The sequence below is a fragment of the Homo sapiens genome, chromosome 8 (assembly GCF_000001405.40).
Source record: "Homo sapiens chromosome 8, GRCh38.p14 Primary Assembly".
NCBI lineage: Eukaryota > Metazoa > Chordata > Mammalia > Primates > Hominidae > Homo > Homo sapiens.
This window is the reverse complement of record NC_000008.11, coordinates 81,112,071-81,133,811: the sequence shown is the minus strand read 5'-3', so window position 1 is coordinate 81,133,811 and position 21,741 is coordinate 81,112,071. Positions and strand designations below refer to the sequence as shown.

The 21,741-nt window shown below is 39.5% G+C and overlaps 2 annotated features.

Moving 5' to 3' along the window:
- Positions 3,316 to 3,395: an enhancer, noted in NCBI's record as "active region_27578". NCBI's record gives its function as "activates an Ori minimal core promoter by ATAC-STARR-seq in GM12878 lymphoblastoid cells {active_cell/tissue: GM12878}" and the evidence as "EXISTENCE:reporter gene assay evidence [ECO:0000049][PMID:35858748]".
- Positions 21,609 to 21,738: a silencer, noted in NCBI's record as "silent region_19326". NCBI's record gives its function as "represses an Ori minimal core promoter by ATAC-STARR-seq in GM12878 lymphoblastoid cells {active_cell/tissue: GM12878}" and the evidence as "EXISTENCE:reporter gene assay evidence [ECO:0000049][PMID:35858748]".

Here is a 21,741-nt window from a genome sequence, read left to right as displayed (position 1 = left end):
AGGAAATCTTCGGCCTCTCCTTGAGAAGCAAAGAGAATTCAGTGACAATGTGTACAGAAATGTCTCTGACTTTCCTTAGATGATTCCATCTTTCTTCCTGCAACTCACCTCCTCACAAACAAACGTCCTCTCCTGCATTTGGGTTAATTTATTTTCAGTAAACACTCATCAAATGACCACCACTAAGCACAAGACCTAGCAGGGTCCTAGAAATATAGTTTCTGTCTTCTAGATCTTTGAAGGAAAGACATAAAATAAAGTAAAGTGAAATTCACACCAAGTAGACATCTGAACCACACGGTATTTGAACACAAAAGTGATGCATTCTGAATAGATGGCTCAAGAAAGACACCTGCCTGGATATGGAAAGGAGGGTAGTATTTTGAGAGGCTCAGGAGAGTATGGAGGTATAGGAACAGAGTGAGCAAAAGCTCAGAGGCTTCACACTGCATTCAAACTCCAGATTATGGTGCGAAGTTGTCTGTGGCTGGAAAATAGAAATTAGGGAGAAATACTCTAAAAATAGAGGTGTAAATGAAGCCAAGGTCAAGCTTTCAGAAACCTTCAATGCATGTTGCAGCATTATTTTCTGGCCAAAAAGGAGTTACTGAAGGCTTTTGGATAGAGAAATAACATCCAACATCCTTTTTCTGGAAGGAAAAAGGAAAGATAATGCTGAAAAAGGAAGACAATGCTGGTGTGGTGGCCTCCTTCAGGGGAAACTGCTTGGGGAGCAGACCTGATGAACAGTCTCTCCAGTAGTTACTCCTTTGTGACCACAATGTTATTTACTCCAAAGTCATCCTTCCTGGCCAGCATGAAGCTTCTTCAGTGGTAAAGCTCAGTGTCTTAGGGACTTCCCGTTGGCTTGGCTGAGACTTTCAAAACTGCTGTGATCTGAGACTCTCTGTACGTAATCCTTCCTACTCTTTCTCCTCTTGTAGGTGTCAGATCTGTAGATCAGTCTGGAGCCTCTCTCAGTGGACTGGACTCCTACTCCCTCCTTGCATTCTCTACAGACAATTCCCCAGGTAATCCTCTTGCATGCTCGGCATCGGCTTCCCACGGGGCCCAGACTGACACAGCTGGTAAAGCAGGAAGGATGACAGCCCTGATCTTATTTTGGAGTAATATGCAGGGCAGCCCAGAGTGCTCAGTACCAGCAAGACAGAAGGGGGAAGGACAAGGGAAGGGAAAGGGAAAGGAAAAATTTTAATTTAAAAATAAAAAAGCAGGTTTTGTTTGATCATCTCCAATATTCTTGTGAGAGAAGGGATTGTGCCAATTATTTTGAAAGCACTCAATCATCAATGGATTTTTCATATATGGTGGGGCAGGGTTATGGGCAAATATTGGTGTTTTCCTCATTGCTGAGTCTTCATCTATGGTATTTTTTTCCTTTTGTGTCCCTCTGGGTGTGTTCACATTAATTTATGTGGGATAAACCTAGTCGCTCGTGTCAAGTAATTTTTGTAATGGCAAATTTGAAACATTTATGCCCTTTTTCTTTGCTATCAATAACAACATTAAATAACATTTAATGTGATCAAAATTTTCTTACTAAAAATATTAAAACCATTTACTCATATGCTATGGGGCATAACCCTGAAGAGTAACTAAAGAATAAAGAATATAGTTTGATTCACAATTTTCTTACTAATATTTCCACACAAGAAATTATACCTTTACAATAGTGTTTAGTTTTTTAAAAGAGCAATAGTTTATTTATGAAAGTAATCCTTCCCTATTATATTGAAAGACTTTAAATGTTTAATAAGAGAATAGTAATGATAAAGCCAGTTCATAATATCCAAGCATTCTCTTGAGGTTTATGACAGGTCACTTTTAGTGTTTCACTTATGTAATATTTATGGTGAACTTCCTATTCTGATTTTCTATGTTCAAATGTATCTCTGTACTAAACATAAACATATCAATGTATCAGAATGAATAAATATTAATTTATAGATAAACTAACTATGGAGTATTTAGCAGTAGTTCTCAGCTACTCTGATTTGGTGTGGACAAAAATTACTTTATATTTAAGAAAAACTGAGCTAGATATGGTGGCTGTTGCCTGTATACCTAGGACTTTGAGAGGCTGAGGCAGGTACTTGAAGTCAGGTGTTCAAGACCAGCCTGGCCAACATGGTGAAACCCCATCTCTACTAAAAATACAAAAATTAGCCAGGCAAGGTGGCACACACCTGTAGTCCTAGCTACTCAGGAGGCTGAGGCATGAGAATTGCTTGAGCCTGGGAGGTGGAAGTTGGAGTGAGCCAAGATTGCGCCACTGCACTCCAGTCTGGGCAACAAAGTGAGACTCTTGTCTCAAAAAATAAAAAAAAAATTTAAAAAAACCCACAAAAACAAACAAAAAAAACTATGTGCAACCATAAACATTATGGCCCATGGGAGCTGTATGACCACCTAAATAAAGATGTTTCAAAATGCATGATATCTTGATAGTAATTATACACGTGTGTGTAAACATGGAAATTTTTTTTAACTAAAAAGGGTTTGTTTGTTCATCCCTTATGATTTGTTCTAAACCATGGTATGTAAACTGCTTTTATAACTTGTTTTCATCTCCACATCCTGTGAAAAGCTTTTGTTTATAAGATTCTTTTTGAAGTCAAGGAAAGCTTTACAGATGAAAGAGATAGCACAATCTTGTCCTTTCATATTATAAGGCAAGTAAGGAGAGTTGTTCATTTGATCAGTAGCTGTCACTCTGAAATAATCTTCCACCAAGTCCAGAATCTTGAAATTATCTGGGAAAGAATGGCCACTACTAACAACCCTTATAAACCATGTAAGAACTTGGGTGGTTGCCTTTGGTGTACTAGAAAGTTCCTGTTCCTCAGCATAGTTTACCAGGCCCTTCAAAATCTAACCCACAAAGAGATAGCTGTAGTAATTTCCTAATATCTATACCCCTCTTCTTCTTAGTTAGAAGTGCCTGGATTTTGTTTGGGAATCCGTGTGCCCACATCCCCGCAATGGTCATAGTCAGACTAAGCCAATTATGCCATTCTGTTCTTTACACTTTCGCCTTCTCTTCCAGCTAGTGGTAACCAGTAAACAGCAACAGAAATCTGTTGTTGGGGCTTCTGGGAAAGCTTTGCCTTCCTGATGCAGAGGCAGATGTCCCGCCACCGCCGTTTCTTCCTTCCTCTTGGCTCGAATGCAGATGTGACACCAGATATAGAGGCAGCTGTTTTGCCACCATGAGAGAAGGGCCAAGAGAACTGCAGAGACACTGGCCCTGACACATTGAGCCACTGAACCAATCCTCAGCCTCCCACATTTAGACCTTTGTCTCAGAAAAAAATAATCCCCTACTTGTTTAAGCCATCATTATCCACTTCTGTCACTTGCAGTAGAAAACATTCTTAACTGGTTGAGAAACAGGCTGAGATCACTTGCTTTCATTTCCTGTACCCCATTCCTTAAACTGCAAAAATCTGTTTATCATTCTACTAATCCACTGGGCTACTTAATGACTGACACAAAAACATTTTCCCTCCAAAATCCTTTTCATCAAAATAATTCAGCTTAAATAAGAAACATCCCCCAACTAATCCCCTCACCCTCACCCATGCTCCTTTAACCGCTGCACTAGCCTGCTGTTTACCAACTAGGGTGAGGGAGGCTTGAGGTACTATCCCCAGTACCCAGCAGAGTACCAGGAACACTAGGCAAATATGTTATCTTTGTTAAATCTTGCATATTCTAAACTATTTGAAGAGATAGCCTTGGTCTCATCTGAGACTTTTCACTGACAGGGTTTCCTTTGGTTCTAGGTGAAGCTGAATTCTCCCTGCACCTGGCATTCCCAGATAAGGTGAAACAAACATACTACAGAGGTCTTCTGAAGGACAATTTTGTAATAACAGTTAAAATGTTAAATATGTATAATGTTTGATCTAGCAGTTCCAATACTAGAAAGTGATACCAGAGACCTATCACAAAAGTGGCCAAAGATATCTATACCTAGCTACTGATTAGAACATTGTTTATAATAGCAAAAATTAAAAACAGGCCTTATGCCCACTAGTAAGAGACAAGTTAAATAAATTATGGTACATCCATTTAAAAATCAAATGCTATGCCACTGTTTAAAAGAACCAAAAAATCTATAAATGGTGACATACAAGGTCAGGGTACATCACTAAGGAAAATAATCCAGTTATAAAAGAGTGTGTTTTATCCCTTTTCTGTAAAAAAAAAAATTATATCTACTGAGCAAACTGAGATAAAGTCTACCTTAAAAGCAGTAGTTGGCCAGGCGCAGTGGCTCATGCCTGTAATCCCAGCACTTTGGGAGGCTGAGGTGGGCAGATCACGAAGTCAGGAGATCGAGACCATCCTGGTTAACATGGTGAAACCCCGTCTCTACTAAAAATACAAAAAATTAGCCAGGCATGGTGGTGGGTGCCTGTAGTCCCAGCTACTCAGGAGGCTGAGGCAGGAGAATGGCGTGAACCCGGGAGGCGGAGCTTGCAGTGAGCAGAGATCACGCCACTGCCCTCCAGCCTGGGCGACAGAGCGAGACTCCATCAAAAAAAAAAAAGGGGGGTGCAGTAGTTAATTCTGAGGTTGGGACTTTTATTCTCTTAAATATCAGTTTTATAGTATATGGATTTATGTAATCAATACATGTGCAATATTTATAATCAGAAACAAATTACTAAAGAAACAGATTTTCCCTGGTATTTATTTTCAGTAATGGGAGGAGGCCAGGAGCTCCTGCAGAGCTACAGCCCCTCTGCAGAAATAAAGAAATGCAGAGACAATTTGACATGCAGGATCAAAATAGGCTAGAAATGGGGCAGTAAGACTGGAGGTACAGGGGAGAAGAATACATGAATGGGTGAGCACCTAACTCATCCAACTGTGCAAGCAAGAGATCTAGGAGCCTTCCTTTATAGCTTTCTCTCCATCATTCGTCTAAAATTCCTCTAACATATACACTTTTCTCCATCTCTACCAACACCATCCACATCCAGCTAACCAACCTCTCTGGCTTGAACTATCAGAATAATTTGCTAATTGTATCTGCTTGAAGAATTTTGGATCCCAGACTTGGCCCCCTGATGTCACATCTGTAGATAGCTTAAGTTCCATGGAAAAGGGGAATTTGCAGATTAGGAAGAATACTAATCAATTTAACACACTCTCAGTTTAACATTAGAATAGGGAAAATAGCCTGGATTATCCAGGTGAGCCCATTGTAATCACATGAACCCTTAGAAGCGAACTGTCTCCCAGCTGAAGGCAGAGGAGGAAGTAAGAGAGAGGGACAGAGAGGGAAGTAGGAGAGAGAAAAAGTGTGAGAAGGTCTTGACTTGGGTTTGCTGCCTTGAAGATGGGAGAGGCTTCGTGGAAAGCAGGAGAGGGAAATGAAGTAGGCCAACAACCAGTGAGATTAAGATGAGAATTGCAGCCCTGTCCGACACCTTGATTTCCATCTTATTTAGCTCTAGACAGAGAACTCTGTTGGCCATTCTGTGCCCAGATCCCTGACTTACAGAAACTGTGATGTTTTAAGCCACTGAGTTTGTAGTAATTTGTTTCAGCAGCAATAGAAAACTAATACTGCAACCCTGGCCCATCTCTCGTCTAACGTTGCAACCATAATGCAAGCAATTTTTTTTTTTTCCAAAATACAGATCTGGTCATGATACCTCTGTTTACTTATAGCTTCCTAATGCTCTTTGGAAACACTGCAAACTCCTTAACATAGACTTCAAGTTTTGCATGGTCTTCAGCTGCCATGAACCTCCCAGCCTCACGCTCCCCTCCAAGTCCCTAACTCTGCAGTTCAGCCACTCTGGCCTTCTTACATTTGCTCATACTGCTGTGCTTCCTCTTGCCTCAGGGCCTTTGCACAAGTTGTTTCCTCTGCCTAGGATGTCCTTCTTTTCCTTCTTCAGCTTCTGGACATTACCTTTCATCTTTGTATTTAAGTCCATGCACCTTCCTCTTGGAGAAGTCTTTCCTGACCTCTCTGACTAAATCAAGCATGGAAATTACAGGCCTCTGTGGAATCATGTCTCTCTCCTTCCCGTCAATTGTTGAGGTTACAGTGGTTTGTGTGATTACTTGACAATTATCTGTCTTAAGTGCCATAAAGACAAGATGGTGTGTATGTCTTTCCTCACCATTATATCAACTGTTCCTGGTAGAGAGTCTACAACATACTTAGTTCTCAAAAAATCTTTGCTGGCTGAATAACTGAATGAATGAGTCACATTGAATCACTGAAACAATGAATTGGCACTCTAGAAAAGAGTAGATGAGAAAATACCAGCCACCAGTAGAAGGCTGAGTCAAGTGATCACAGGTTATCACACCAGTTCTCAGATTGCACGATGCTAGGTACTGTGTGCCCAGGCAACGTTTGATAACTGTTCTTTAATTTCATATTACCCAGAGAACCCTGGCTTTTCTAGTTAAAATAGCTGCCAAGACACCACTTTATCACCAATATATGTCTTGTCTCATGAAATAAATGTAACAAATATTTAATGAGTAATGACCAAGTGGAAGACACTGTGTTACCTATCCCAAGGGATAGGTATATGTCCTTAAGTATTAATATATTTGATTTATATATTGAACTTCATGCTTTATAAAATATACTTTTGCATATATACTCTAACCCTCACAATAACTTTGTAAAGTACTTGTGTATTATTATAACTGTTCTCAGTTCAGCACAGATTAATTCAGAGATTTGCTGCTCAGAGGTTAACTGACTTGCTCAAATTCAAAACACTTGAAAGTGACAGAACTTCATCTCAGGTTTTCACTCACTCCATGTGCAGAGTGTTCTAACAGAATCCTGGATTTTCTCTATAGAACCAAGCCTCACAATTCCCTATGTACGTCCCGTCTCTTCATCCCTACTCCCTGGGATGTAGGGATGACCAATCCCAGCACCTCAGAAGTGGTTTGGGCAAATGTCCACAGCACCCTTAGGGTAATTTCTATCTAATCTGCCACTATGCTTCCGAAAGATGAGAAGATGAAACAATTGGACAACCAATAAATGTTTCTCGAGTAGATAGTAGACTTTATCCTAACTCTTCACACACATACAAATCAGCAATTATTCAAGTGTTAAGCTCCTCAAGTTTGAGAATATAAATCTCTGTGCGAGAAGTATTCTATTAATTAATTTTTTTTTATTGGCTTGAGAGTAGGCCTCTTTTTAAATAGTTAATAGCTAGAGGGGAAAGTCCTGCGGAATTTCTGAGAGATGTGCTTTTTTCTGTGAATTTACGTCATGATGCTACAGATTAGTGTGAAGCGAGCCTTACCCAGAAGGACTGGAAATTGGTTATCACGCCCAGATCAGCTCAAAGATAAATGTCCGCTTAATTGGAATGGGTATAATATTCCAATGATTTTGCTGAATACAGTTGAAAATCCAGAGGAATTTCCAAAAACTGTTAAATAATCTTTACTGAAATAAGGGTATAGTCTCACCTTATAATTACATTAAAAGAAAGTAGTCTCATTTGTGTCCTTTTGGTATGTTTTATGTTTAAAAAGAAACTGAAGAGTGAAATTAATAAGTCAAAGAGCACAATTAACTTCCTTACAAATTTAATTTTTTCCTGATTGTTAAATTAATGCATGCTTATTTAGAAAGTACATAAAAGTGTCCAGAGAGAGATACAAAATGTAACCATAATGATCATTGTGCTACCTTGAGGCAAATATTAACATCTTGACACTTTTATCTCTACCATTTACCTATTTATTTTTCTTAGTTGAGATGTAGTCTATTTTTTCTACTTAGCACTTTGCATTTTTTTCACCAGTAAATCATTTGTTTCAGTGCTTTTAGTTAAAAGTACTAATTCTCTGTGTTACAATTCAAAAGTTGGCCTAGCTGACGTAGCCACTATACAAATTTGGTATGAATCTTCCTTACTTGTTCCCTTCCTAAACAACCATATAAGGTAGATACATAAATACTATTGCTGCTATTGTTTTTTTACAAAAATAGAATCATCCACACAACTCATTTTTTTAAATAAATCATTACATTTTCCCAAAACCCTTCTTGTACATCTATCTCATTTTATTAAGTAACTGCACTAGCCTTCCATAGAGTGAACATACAAGTATTTATTATACCATCTTCTAATGATTGACATTCAAATTTTTCTCCTTATTTTTTCCTATTATAAGAAACATAGCAATAAAAACCATAATACATATATTTTCTAAATGGCACTTTCAGTTTTAGAAAATATATATTTTTTTGCTAGCTATTGCTTATTTAACTGACAAATACAATTGGATTCTTTCCAATATTCTCCATGAGGGTATGGTCCATATCTATCTAGTATATTGTCCTTTTACCCAAATGACACAGACTGTGGCGTATGGAAAGTTCAAGTCAAATTAGTATTTGCTAAATTGATCTGGACAGACAGCATTTTTGTGGGAGCTCCGAATTTACCAGTAGTCAGTGCGTGAGCTCTGCCATGTGATGAATGTTTAGGAAAGGTACCAGCATCAGGGCTTAACGACGACATTCCCAAATCCACCATCTGCATCCAGCTTGGCTACTAATGGGCAGTGTAACTTTCATCTCCTTCCACTTCAGTTTTTTCTTCATTTATAAACTGGTTAAGTGGCATGCGCCTCATGTTGCATATACATGTCCCATTTTAATATGTATTTTATTTTTGTCATGTGTCTAATAGTAATGCAATGTAATAAGTTCCTTTTAACATTAAAATGATATATTAAAATTTTATGTTTGTAATTATCAGAGTATTTCTTGACATCTTTTTATGGAATATTTCACAGGCAGGGGATGAAATGATTATTAAATTAAATTCTTCCCACTCATTGACTCAGCTTTAAAATATTCAGAGTCAATGTGGGAATTTGTTGCATTAGCCCACAGTTACCCTGAAAAATGCATGAAACCATCAGGAGTGAGGAAAGAAGACAATGCAGCTGAATCGGTATAAACCCATCTATTTAGGTAGGGAAACCAGAGGCCCCCTGGGGTAGTCAACAGCTTCTTGAATGTTGGAAATCAAGGAAACTCAATAATTAACGCTTTTTTTCTCTCACTTGCATTACAAATAAATTAAGACACAAGATGGAGTTAGGTAGATGTAGGCCACAGTATAGCATTTATCACCAATAAAGATGTTACGGTAGGATGTGACAACACATCTGTGGGCAAGCCGGCATGTCAGCACAGCACCATAGAGATAGGCTGGCTCCTCTTCTCTGCTGCAGGGAGCACTGCACCAAGCCACGTCTCCCTCTTCAGGAGCAGACCCAGCTCTGTAATGCAAACAGGAGAGAAGGAGCAGTGTAGAAATGAGAAGAAGAGGATGCAGGCTGTACATGCCCTGTTTCTTCTTTCAACCCAGCCTATTGGTTTGAGTCACCCTCTCTGGGTAGGAACGAGTAAGCAGGAGAAGAGGCTCCATGCATTTTATGCTAGTCAATACCCTTTTACGTGGAAGAAAATATCAAGTGTGGAAAAGAAAGGCTTCTTCTCTTTTTGCTTACCATTGAAAAATACATTTTATTTATTTATTTTACTCCTATACATGTTGCTGCCTCTTACAGAAATTTGGATTTTGAGATAGCAGGCAACTTGTACAATCCTTGGCCATCTTCACAAAAGACCTCACACAAACCATGCATGAGTAGAAACACATCTTCCACCAAAAGCATATGGTGATTTCTGTGGGTTGTGAGTTAAAAGAGGGCTTAATGAAAAATTTTTGTTTGGTGTCTAGATTTTAAATCCTTATGCCGTTTACGATGCATATTGCAATCTGAAATCTTGCTTAGTTATGTTGAAAATGGTGGAAGGAAATTAATTTAGTCCATGATCCCATATACAGTTTTAAATTCTCATAGTATATATTCTTCTTGCTGATATCCCTATATTCTTTCTTTTCAGTAATGTATTTTCGAAAGCATTCTTTGAATACTTTTAAGAACATTTACAAGTACAATCAATGATCCAAATCTCATGAGAAAAGTATTATCGAGCCTATTTTACAAATGAGAAAATTAAGGTTAAAATAATAATTTGTCTAAGGTGATACACAGTTATGAAACAGAAAATGATATTTGAACCCAGGTCTTCCCAATTCACATAGGGTGTTCCATCATGGTTACTTATACTGTTGCCCGCCATCCTAGATAAAAATTCCTTGTGGTTGTGAGCGTGGCTTCTATTTATTCATTTCTTTTTCTGTCCACAGCAAAGAACATAATGCTCTGCATTGAGCAGGTATTCAGTAAATGTTTGTTAAGTTTAAGTAAATACACTATCCATTGTGCAATTCTAGATATGGAAAATGCATAGAAATGTTCCAGTTGGAGTCTGGCATTTTGTAAGTTAGGAAATTAAAGCCCAAAGAAAATCTCGAGTTTATGTAGCTAGGAGAGTACCAGAATCTAAGCAGAAGTATAACTCCATCTACGCAGACTTTTGGCCCTTCCTGCTACCATTTCCCCTTCATCTTGGGAATCATGAGAGTGGCAAATGGCTTGGCATGGATCACAGTGGCTCACTAAGAGGAAGAGTCAGCTGCTGCTTTTCCTGGGACAAACGGCCTGAAGGAGCAGAGGTCATTGCTGTGTCACAGAGTTGAAAAAACTGACAGGAAGGAGAACAACAATAATAAAATATTGTATTTATTTACTGGACAAGCAGAAGAAAATAGTGACTTAGTACATGACCTGGAGCCACATGGCCTGGTTAAAATGTATAGAAGTAATCTACTTATTAGCTGTGTGATCTTGGACAGGTTACTTGGCCTGTATGTGCCTCAGTTTCTTTATCTGTAAAATGAGAATGGGTGCATCTCCTCCTGCCTTTGTGAAAATTAAATGAGTTACAGATACAAAGTGCACAGGCAGCACCTGGCATAGGCAAAGTACTATATAGCGGTACTGATTTGAGCATTTCATAGGTTCCAGAGACTATGCCAGTGTTTAAAAACCATTAGGTTTATGATTAGCATACGTATTTCACATATTATTAAATACTAAATAAGATAAGCCATTGCTACATTTTAAAACAAGGACACTTGAGATATAGAAAGGGTGAGCAACTTAACAAAGATACTAGTGCCTGTCAGAGGAGGCATATAAACCTAGGGCACCTTCCCCCAGAGCCCACATGTTGACCACTGTGCAAAGGGCTGAATCTCACTATTAGCTTGCCTCCTTGTGAAAAAAGAAAAATGTGCTTTGGAGTTCTTATTGAAGCAGACACAGAACTCCCTAACCAAAGTCACTGTTTCCTAACCAAGCCTCCTTCAATTCTCCTGTGGCCCCAGAAGGGTGGTCCTAGAGTGGACCATATCATCCCTAATCTAGAAGAGTCCAGATTGGCTAACGAACTGTTCTGGAAATCAAGAAGTTTATAATTACTATAGGTGGATCTCAAAAAAGAACTGTTCTGGACTTCCCTGAAATTAAATGCCCTTGTAATAATCAAAGTCAGGCCAATCTCTGAGAGCTTTTCTTGAAAAGTCAAGTCTGTCTCTCAATCAAGAGCATACATGTACCAGAGCTTGTACGGAACAGATGCACATCAACATCTACCTGGTGTCTTTTGGGAAAAAGGCCCCATCCAGAGGTAGAACAGAAGGGCCATGACTATTTCACTTAACTGCGAAATGGCCACAAAAATCACCTGCTTTGTCTCAGAGACTGCGTCCCAACTGTGTGTAAACTTAAGACTCCAGGAAATAATTATTTCTGTCAGTGTTTGCCATTTAGATAAAGCTTCTTGGGAAATATGTTGAGAATCAGACTATCAACAGATGTTTATTATTGAACTTGTTATGTACTCAGCACTGGGTTAAACAAACTTTGAAGTTTCCTATCACATGTTTGAGGGGAATTTAAAGCTCTTAATGGACATGATTACATGTTGTCAAATAGAATGTTACAGTAATGACTGTTCCCTAATTCTACTTGCTGTCATTTTTGAAGATTTGTTAGTAATAAAGTAAAAGTTTGGTATGTTAGAAAAGCAAGTAATTTCTTCTGAACGGTAACATTAAATCAGATAAAATAAAACAAGATTTCTGTCTCTGTTTCCTCGTCTGAAATAAATTGTTGGCTGTTATCCGCCATAGTCATTAAAAATGCCTCTGGTTGCAAAGTTGCTGTTTCAATTCTGATTTATAGAAGATTCAAAGAGTGAATCCAGCTACAACTCAATAGAGCTAATTACATTTTAATCTGCTAGATAAGCATCACGATTATTTTTACACTCAAGATTTCTTCTTTAAAAATGTTTCTTCTTTCTCTTTTTGTCAATGCTTGAAGTCTATTTCTTTGTCTTTTTAAGAGAGCATATCCTAAATTAAGTAATATTTCTAACTTTTCATATCAGCACAAGTGATTCACTGGCTTAATTTGGCAAGAAGATATTGGTTTTAGCTGCTAGCACAAACATAAGCTAAAACAACTCTAAGATGAATGAGAAAGTACTTCCATATAGAACCTGATTCTGAACCTCAATGGCCACTTCACTCTCTATCATCTTCCACATGATGGTCAGAACCCAGAAATGACCAGTAGCTCTTGATATTTAAGGAAGGTGTGATAAGCTAAGTAATAGGCTTGGAAACTCAGGGGAAATGCATTTTTAAATGTAGGTCCAGTCCTGACTTTCTTTGAAATCCTAGGTAAGACACTTAACCTATGGCTTAGTTTTTCCCATTTGTGAAATAGAGAGAGAGAGAGAGAGAGATTACTAAAGTAATGTCCAGAGAGATAAGACTATTCAATAGGCATGCAATGCAAGTTGAGTATTACAATTAATAAGTATTTATTTGCATATCAGCATATCAACCATAAAGCATTCAGTAGTACTTAGGATTTTGAAGACAATTCATAAGGCATAGATTGAAATAAAAAGATGTAGGAGGCCGGGTGCGGTGGCTCACGCCTGTAATCCCAGCACTGTGGGAGGCCAAGGTGGGCAGATCACGAGGTCAGGAGATCGAGACCATCTTGGCTAACACGGTGAAACCCTGTCTCTACTAAAAATACAAAAAAAATTAGCTGGGCGAGGTGGCAGGCCCCTGTAGTCCCAGCTACTCGGGAGGCTGAGGCAGGAGAATGGTGTAAACCCGAGGGGCGGAGCCTGCAGTGAGCAGAGATCGTGCCACTGCACTGCAGCCTGGGCGACAGAGCGAGACTCCATCACAAAAAAAAAAAGACGTAGGATATGTAAGCTTGACTCCCAGAAGCCTGCAGTCCAGCAGGAAAGAAGGGGTACATATATTGAAATTTGTTGATTAGTACATTGACCATCAACCTACATGTGCAGATTGACTGATACGGACATAGTCACCTGATATAATTGCTCTCTTCTTCATCTTGAGATGTTGATGCCATTTCTGCTCTGTGTTAATCAACACTGTAAATAGATGTCACAAAAACATGGTGTATTTTTAAATGCACAAAGAATGTAATCTTGTGTTCCAACATCAAGTCGCTCACACCAACTAGATGTCCTACGATTCAATTCAATTCTGACACTAACTACCCGGAGTGAGAGTCAGCTCCCACAAGTTAAAGAGCAAGGTTCCTAATGAGACTATTCTTAGTTCAGACACCAGTTACAAGCAGGGTCCCCAAACTACCTGCAATTCTGTCTGACATGGCTACAATTTTGGGGATTTTCCTATGACCCCTCTTCAGTTTCAATAATTCACTAGAAGAACTCATGGAATTTGGGAAAGCACTATCCTTATGATTACTGTTTTATTAGAAAGGATACAAATGAGCAGCCAGATGAAGTGATACAGATAACAAGGTCTAGAAAGGCACTGAGTGCAGGAGCTTCTGTCTCTGTGGAGCCAGGAGGACACATCACCCTCCCAGTACAGCAACATCTTCACCAAACAGGAAGCTTCCTAAATCTCCATGTCCTGAATTTTTTGTCAGAATTTTATTGTGTAGGTATAACTGATTAAATAATTGGCCCTGTGATTGAACTTAATCTCCAGTCTCACTCCTTCTCCAAAGGTTGGGGGCAGGGTCTGAAAGTTCCAACCTTCTAATCACATGGTTGGTTTCCCCCATTCATTATCACAAACTCAGGTACAGTCCAAGGAGGTTAATTATGAATAACAAAAGACATTCTTATCACTCTGGAAATACTAGGAGTTTTGAAACTCTGCTAGGAACCAGAGACAAAAGCCAGATATGTTCTTTATTTTATCACAAATGAATATGAATATTGCTTTATCAATTCTTAATAATATTAACACCTCATTTCTAGTCATTTGTTCTATAAACATTCATTGAGCAGTATGTTAGATTTTTTTGTCTTACAAGGATCAGGCAATGAAAAGGAAAATTTACTTAAGGATATGAAGGGTCTGGAAAAGCATTACGTTGGCTGGAATGCTCTGTCTGTCTTCCATTGGATCTCTGCCTCTCCCTGTGTATCTGTCCCATTTTCCTCCCTAGACTGTTCAGTCCATTCCATATTCTCTAGTCCATATTTCAGAGGAAGCTAGTGGCACAGAGATGGGTAAACACAATGACTGACATGACACTTCTCATGTCAAACAACCTGCTATGAAAGGCATTGTAGGAAGAAAAATGTCCTGCCTGGCTTTCTGCTCCCCTATCATCTCTGCTTTCATAGATGATCACCTTTCCTCCAACAATAGACTCAGTCTTTCTCCAGGCTCCAGGTTCAATCCTGTCCCTTGTCAGTGGGAGGTGGATACTGAAGAATCCATAGCCCAGAATTCAATATAAATTAAATATTAATATAAATAATCTGGTTCACACCTCATGCTTCTATTGTAGTAATTAGAATTCAATTTTTGTTCTTGGGATCAAGCCTTCACCCTGTAACTCAGATGCAATAAGTATTTAATATATAACTAGATAAGCTTTGATAATCTGCCCAATGCTGCAATCCAAATGGGATTAGGTGCTGAATCACTCTTTGGATGTTAGTTATCTGTCTTCCTCCACAAACCTACACCTCTCTCTCCAGTCAACATGCTCACAATCAACGTCATAAGCATGGACATGAATAGAACCCTTGTGATCACGTACAAAATAACTAGAGAGTTAAGGAGCGGGAGAAGGAGAGAAGATACAAAGAAGTTTAAAACTTAATGCCTGCCTTTGGGAGCTTGCTGTTTCATTGAACAGCAATACATACACTGATGTCCTTAATTCAAAGCAGTTTAGGAGAAGTGCCATGTGGATGATCCAGACAGTAGGTGTTACAGATGTTCCCAGGAGGAGACACTCTTCCAGCTAGGATGATCAAGATCAACTTCACAGATGTGGTGAGGTATGAATTAGGCACCTGAATGGGCAGTATTTTGAAGGACAGAGATGGGAGAGGAGGATTTGAATAAAAAAACAGCAGTAAAACAAAAGCAAGAAAGGACAAAGGGAAATGAATCTTGGAATAGTAAAACAGTTTGACCAGAGAAGAAGATTCAGGATGGGGTGTAGTGAAAGATAAAGCCGATGGTAATCATTCCTGTATACCCAAAGGCTCTTTTAATCAAGAAGTCCAGTCATGTATTTTCAGAAAAAAATTCTGATTATTAATATGAACAAAGCAAGCTACTATGAGATTGCCTATAATTGGGCTCAAAACGGTATAGTCTAGCATTTTCTGAAAAAAATACTTTAGAATGTCACTGTATCTGATTGGATACTGAACATTCCTTGAATAAATTATTTGGACTGAGTGTGTCAAAGGGAAAGATAAAATATTTTAAACTGCTGTTTCTGGCTCTACAGCTCAAAATAATGTCTGTTGGACTCAGCTGTCCCCTTGTATATATAAACAAAACAACCCTTACTCTTTGTTTCTTTTCTAGCCAAGAGAAATCAGGTTCCCATGGCTTCAGACAGCTGTCATGCATTTCCCTGACTGCCGCCACATGTGTGTTAGGCTCTGCAGATCATTACCAACGCCAACATCTGGCTCTGCTTGCTTTTTTTCAAAGAAGAGTTTAATTTTCCTCTAAGTTTTCAGAAACAGGAAATACCACGTGCACTTCAGTGGAATTTGGGATTAAATATTTCTAAAAGCAACTGCTGTTTTTACAAGACCTTTTGGAGTGATCGCTTATTTTATGGCTTTTACCTCTGGAAATTCTTTTTTCTCTCTGAATTGCTGTGAAATCTCCAGGGTCCCTTGACTTTTTATCAGACTGCAATTGTGCTTTTATTCATCCCCCAAAGAATTTGTTTCAGACTCTGCTGAGGGTCTGACCACCAGCCACACAAGTAACATCTCAAGCACCAGTTTTTGTTACCTGTTCAGAACCACAGGTTTGACCATTGCCAAGTGTATGAAAACTCTGGGGAGCCTGCATTCTCACTAGCACTCACTAGCATTGACCATCAACCCTCTCTAGAAGGTGTTCTCTTCTTTGGGAGTAGAGAACAAAAGAAGAGAATTCAGCAGAAACTGAATGCTCTTCAGAGGGAAGTAGGAATAGGTAAATGGCTGATTCTTTCAGAAAATAATTATGTTATTTTGTGGATACTGATACTATTTTCTGATACTATTATCCCCATTTTTCAGATAAGGAACCTTATGCAAACTGAAGAAGAAAGCCATGTAAACAAAGAATAATCTTCCACTTTTAATGGGCTTGTGGCTCACAGAGAAAGCCACTTTCTGCTGAATTTCCTCTTCCTGTCATCTGTTGTAGCTATATAACAAGAGACAGCTTCCATTTTAGGGAGAGTACAAGACTGAGAGCAGAAAAGTCTATTTGCTGAAAAGGTGTTGAGAGGGCGGGACTGGAGGAAGATGTATAAAGGCAAGAAATGACAGAAATGCTTTAGCCACTATAAGTCTTTCACATATTTCTAATGTTGGAGATGGCACAACTCACTTCTTTTGGAATTGAATTTCAAAATCTTCCTTTCTCAATGCTGAAGTTTTGCTTGCTGGCAGGCAACTGGTTGGCTACTAAGGAAACACGCAGTTTTCTCTGATGCCTGCTTAAAATATGTTTATAAAAATTGTATTATATTGAAGTGATAAAGGCAGAAGAATTAAAAGTGAGCTTAAGGAATCTCTACCAACATTCTGAGTATCTACATCAGTTTTACAGGCACACATCTTGAGTGTTGATGTCAGGATAGAACTTTAAGGAATGTGTAAGGTCAGGATGACAAAGGACAATGGAAATGTCCATTCTCAAATCTGTAATATAAAGGCATTTCTTTAAAGCACTCTATTTTCACTTTTATAGCTACTGTCTCTTGCCACCATAATTTCTTTCTCCCGGTAGAAAGATATGAAAATGTCAAGTCCTTAAGCCTTGACTTTTCCTCTACAGTATAGTGTGAGGCTGCAGAGCTACATTAGTAGGTTTTGCCCTGATCTCCCTTGAAAGCCTTTTCTACACGATTCTCCTGTCCTCAGAGGAGCCCTAAAGTCACTCTTAAGTCTTCTGATGGAGAAGGAAAGTACTCTCTTAAAAACTACAGTTCATCATGGTTTACATTAAAATGATAAAATAGACACTAAGAGATGTCTAGTTTCAGATTTTAACTCTAGGAGAGATTTTGTAAAGCCCACCACTAATAGCTAGCATATTCGGAACCTAATATGTGCTTGAAGCTCTTGTTACTGTGTATTAGGTAATCAAAGATGGCAGTCACGTGATTACAGCTGATGGATGGAGATGCTGGGAGTGGGGGCCAGACAGCCTGTGAGGTTCGCACTGTGCAGCATGGCCTCTCCCCCAGCTGCTCTCTCCTTTTATTAGTGGGCAATTTGGTTGGGAGGGAGGAAAAAGTAACTCTTAGAGATTGAAATTGAGGGTATATTTTGTAGTAGTTCTTTAAAGCATCTATCATGGGTTTTAAGGAATTTATAATCTATTTCTTAACCTCTGATCCCTCTTTCCTATAGACAAAGTCACACGTGGAATCCTCAGCACTTTAAGTTCAGGTAAGCTGTGAGTTGCCAGCAGAGTCTTGATTGCTTGCTCTCTAATCTTGCTCACAGGCCATTGCCCAGTCTTATCTCAGAAGCTGCTGATACTCAGTCTCCACCAGCCTTTGCTCCTCAGCAACCAAAGGCCACTTCCTGCCTTCCTTCTTCCATCCCTAAATTCCATCCTGTCCCAGCCCCCGACCCCATTCCTGCCTTAGCCCAACATCCCTACCCATCACCTATTTCTTCTCAGGTTCAGGGTTATAATTAACACTCTATTAGCTTTTTTTGTTGTTAATAGAGACTTAAAAAACATTATGGAGCTAGCCTGAAAATCCTGATTATTTATTATATTGACTGCTCTAAATTGTAAGTGAGATAACTTAGACATGAACATTTACAATGCAGGCACGTCGTAAGTTTCCTGCATTAGGGCAAGAATTGGGCTTTCTAATACTTTTCTAAAGTTTCTCGGGAAAGAAGACAGGACCCTAATCTCCCCCAATCCCATCTACACCAGGGATTCAGTGATGGTTTCCAGTGAAGTTATCAGCTGCTGCATGTGTTCAAACAAGGCAAACTTTGTAATAAGCCATGTCCACAAATCAAGCACAACTTGTATTAATTTTTATGGCAAGCTTATTTTTCACCAAGTGGCATCTAATTCCTTCCTCCCAACTGTCTCACTCTTGCTAGTCACCTTGGACTCCCCACAGTTCTCTTATCTGGACTGTGTCTATGAAGTAAGTGAAGATTTTCATGTCAAAGAATCCCTTTGAGTGAAATGGATGAAGAAATGTAATTAATAAAGGTGGAGAATTTTTGAGCCTAAGCTTTCCAGCTCAGTTGGTAAGCCTGTGATTTTTAGCAGAAAGACTTTAATAAAAATCTATCCTAGGTACAGTTTCTGCATGAGGGAAGAATAGTTTCAGTGGAGTCATTAGTGTCTATATAATTGAATATCTCACTACTAGGACTTTTAGAGGCATTGAAGGAAGGAATTCTCAGCCAAAGAGTAGGCCTTGCTGACCCATAAGGAATACAGACCTCAGAGAAAAAGATGTAGCTGCGATTTCTGCCAGACAATCAATAGCAGCTGATGTGAAATAAATTCTAAATACAGACACAGTCAATATCAAGACACAGTCAATATTAAAGCACAGTCAATATAGTATCAAGACAATATTATATATTTCATGTATTTAATGCCAATAACAATGGTTCAAAATTCAATAGCAGTAGGACACACCAATTAATAGTAACTTTTTATTTAATTAAATCTTGGATCTCTTGAAATCAATATACAAATGAATTATGTAAATATTTTGATTGAAATGTCGGGCACCTAAGAAAACAATGACAACTTTGGGTTCTTCTAAAGGTCCCAACATGACTATTCTGCTACCTTCATATTTAAAATATATATATATTTCTTATTAAAAACTGAAGTAAGTTTTACAACCTGTGATGTACCAGCTCCTTCAAAGAATTCTTTTTTCTTAGGAATTAATTTCATAATCACACCGAAGAATGGCTGTAATGGAAGAGTTAGATAAGAAGTAAAGATAAAGGCAGGTAGACCACAGTTGGCAGTGTAGCATTCCCAGTCAAACCTCTGGATTAGAAGACTGTATATAACTATCACATACTTGCTTCCAAAACATTACTCAGACCGAGAGTATAGCCCATAGCATCTACCACAAGCACAAGAATTGATCCTGACACTTTTGGTTCTCTATCTAGGAGTGGCTTTGAAATACATTTGAGTTCCAATTTACTGATGGCAAATCCTGATATGAAAAATTTGGAAATGAAAAACAATCCTCAGCATGTTACTTGGTGAAAAGAGAGCAGAGGAAAAGGACAGAGGCTAGAGATTGGCTCCTGCCTGCATTCGTGAATTTGTCTAAATCACTTAGCTTCTGAGCCTGGGTAAAATGAGGATGGTAATTACACTTGTCACCAGATAACGTGAATATTGCCCTTCAAACTCCTCAATGAAGCCTGCACTGTGGAACTGCAATGTCCTAGGACCGGGTTGCTCTTAGAACATTTTGTTCTAAGTGTATCCTAACAAGTGTAGCAAAACTGGAAGACACAAAATGTATTTCCTCCCCACAAGAATGAAAGCCTTCCTAACTCCAAATTTAGGCACAGCCTGTAAAAGATGTGACTAGTAAACACAGAAACCATTTGCTTTATAAGGTCTAAATTGTCCTCTTCTCCAGAGTTGTAGAAGCCAAGTCCAACACGGAGATCCCTACTTTTATTCAAGTTCCACCATTAGTCAACTCATGTCCAGGATGTCTTCTTTAATATATAAAATGGGGATACTTTTTTATATTATTATTCAACTTAAGAGACCACTGTGAAATTTCAGTGAGGTAACGTATGTGAAATGTTATACTCCATAAGTTCTTAAACACCTGAGTTTCATACCATGCTCTGAAGCAAGAGGCCAAGTCTGGTTCCTGGGTCCGCTTCCCCAATGGGCTTTTCCAAGCTGTAGGCTGAGTCTAAACTGTTTCCTCCCACATACCCTTCCCTCTGCGACACACTAACAACATCCCTTACTCCATCACTGTCTTCCTTACCCTCTCCTGATGAGCCTTCTTCCCCAGCCACCTTTAAGCTCCCATTAATGATATGTGTAACGAGTGTTCAATAGAGTGTGTGTGTGTATATTTAATGCCATTTATATGTTTTTTCTTGCTAAGTAATGCATCATAATTTTAGAAAATTGGGACTAGTCAGATAAAGCACCCGTTGGTTTAGAATCCCTGACTCAAAGTCAGATGTCCTGAGTTCTAGACTTGGTTTGTCTCCTTGTAAGTGCAAAAGTTTATTCCCAATTCCAGGTTGCTAGTGTAAACTTGAAGTTTGGCCCAAACAAAACCCCTATCAGATTTATTTAGAGTGTTGATGCCAAATGGAATTCTAGAAGCCCACCTTTGCCAGGGGCTGAGCCAGAACCACTATCACTGGGGGTACGGCCTGGGCATTTGTTCTGCGTTTTTTATAAGCCCCTCGGGTGACTGTCAGACAGGCCAACTGTTTCAGAAGCTCTGCTCCAGGCTCTAGATCACACGTTAAGTAGCAAGGATGGGGGTCTGGACCTCCAGTATTGGCATCCTCCGAGAGCTTGTTAGAAAGGATGTCTCCCTCATTATCCCAGGCCTACTGAATCTGAATCTTGCATCTCATCACAATCCGCAGGAGATTCTGTCACACACTGAGGGTTTGAGAAGCACTGCTGTACCTTGGTATCTTTAGATACCTACTGATACCTGGGTGGGCCCCACCCAGACATTGTCCTGTACTTGTTCTGGGATGCGTCCGGGGCAAAGGGTTCTTACAAGCTCCCCAAGTTATTTTAATGCACAGCCACAATAGAAGATCACTGTCCCCCAAATGGCAACCCTTTACGGTTAAGCTGTAACCTGAATTAAATTGGCTTTTGTGGGCTCCCCAGGGACCTTAAGGACCGCTTAAACGGTGCTGTTTAAAGGACAATGGGCTCCTGGGACAAGTTCAACCACAGAGCTTTGGGTTCATAAAATCAGGGCAGGGAAGACTTCCTGCATCCTCCCGCGAGCAAGCCAGGCCCCGCGCCGGTCCTCACCCGTGTGCACCCCCAGCCCGGCCCCGCCCGGCTCGCCCCCTCCCGCCCCGCGGCCCGCCCCTCCTCCCCCGTGACGTGCCGCTGCGGCCAGGATCATGCGCACTCGCGCCCCGCTCCCCGCGCGGCTGCTCCGCCTCGGCGCCTG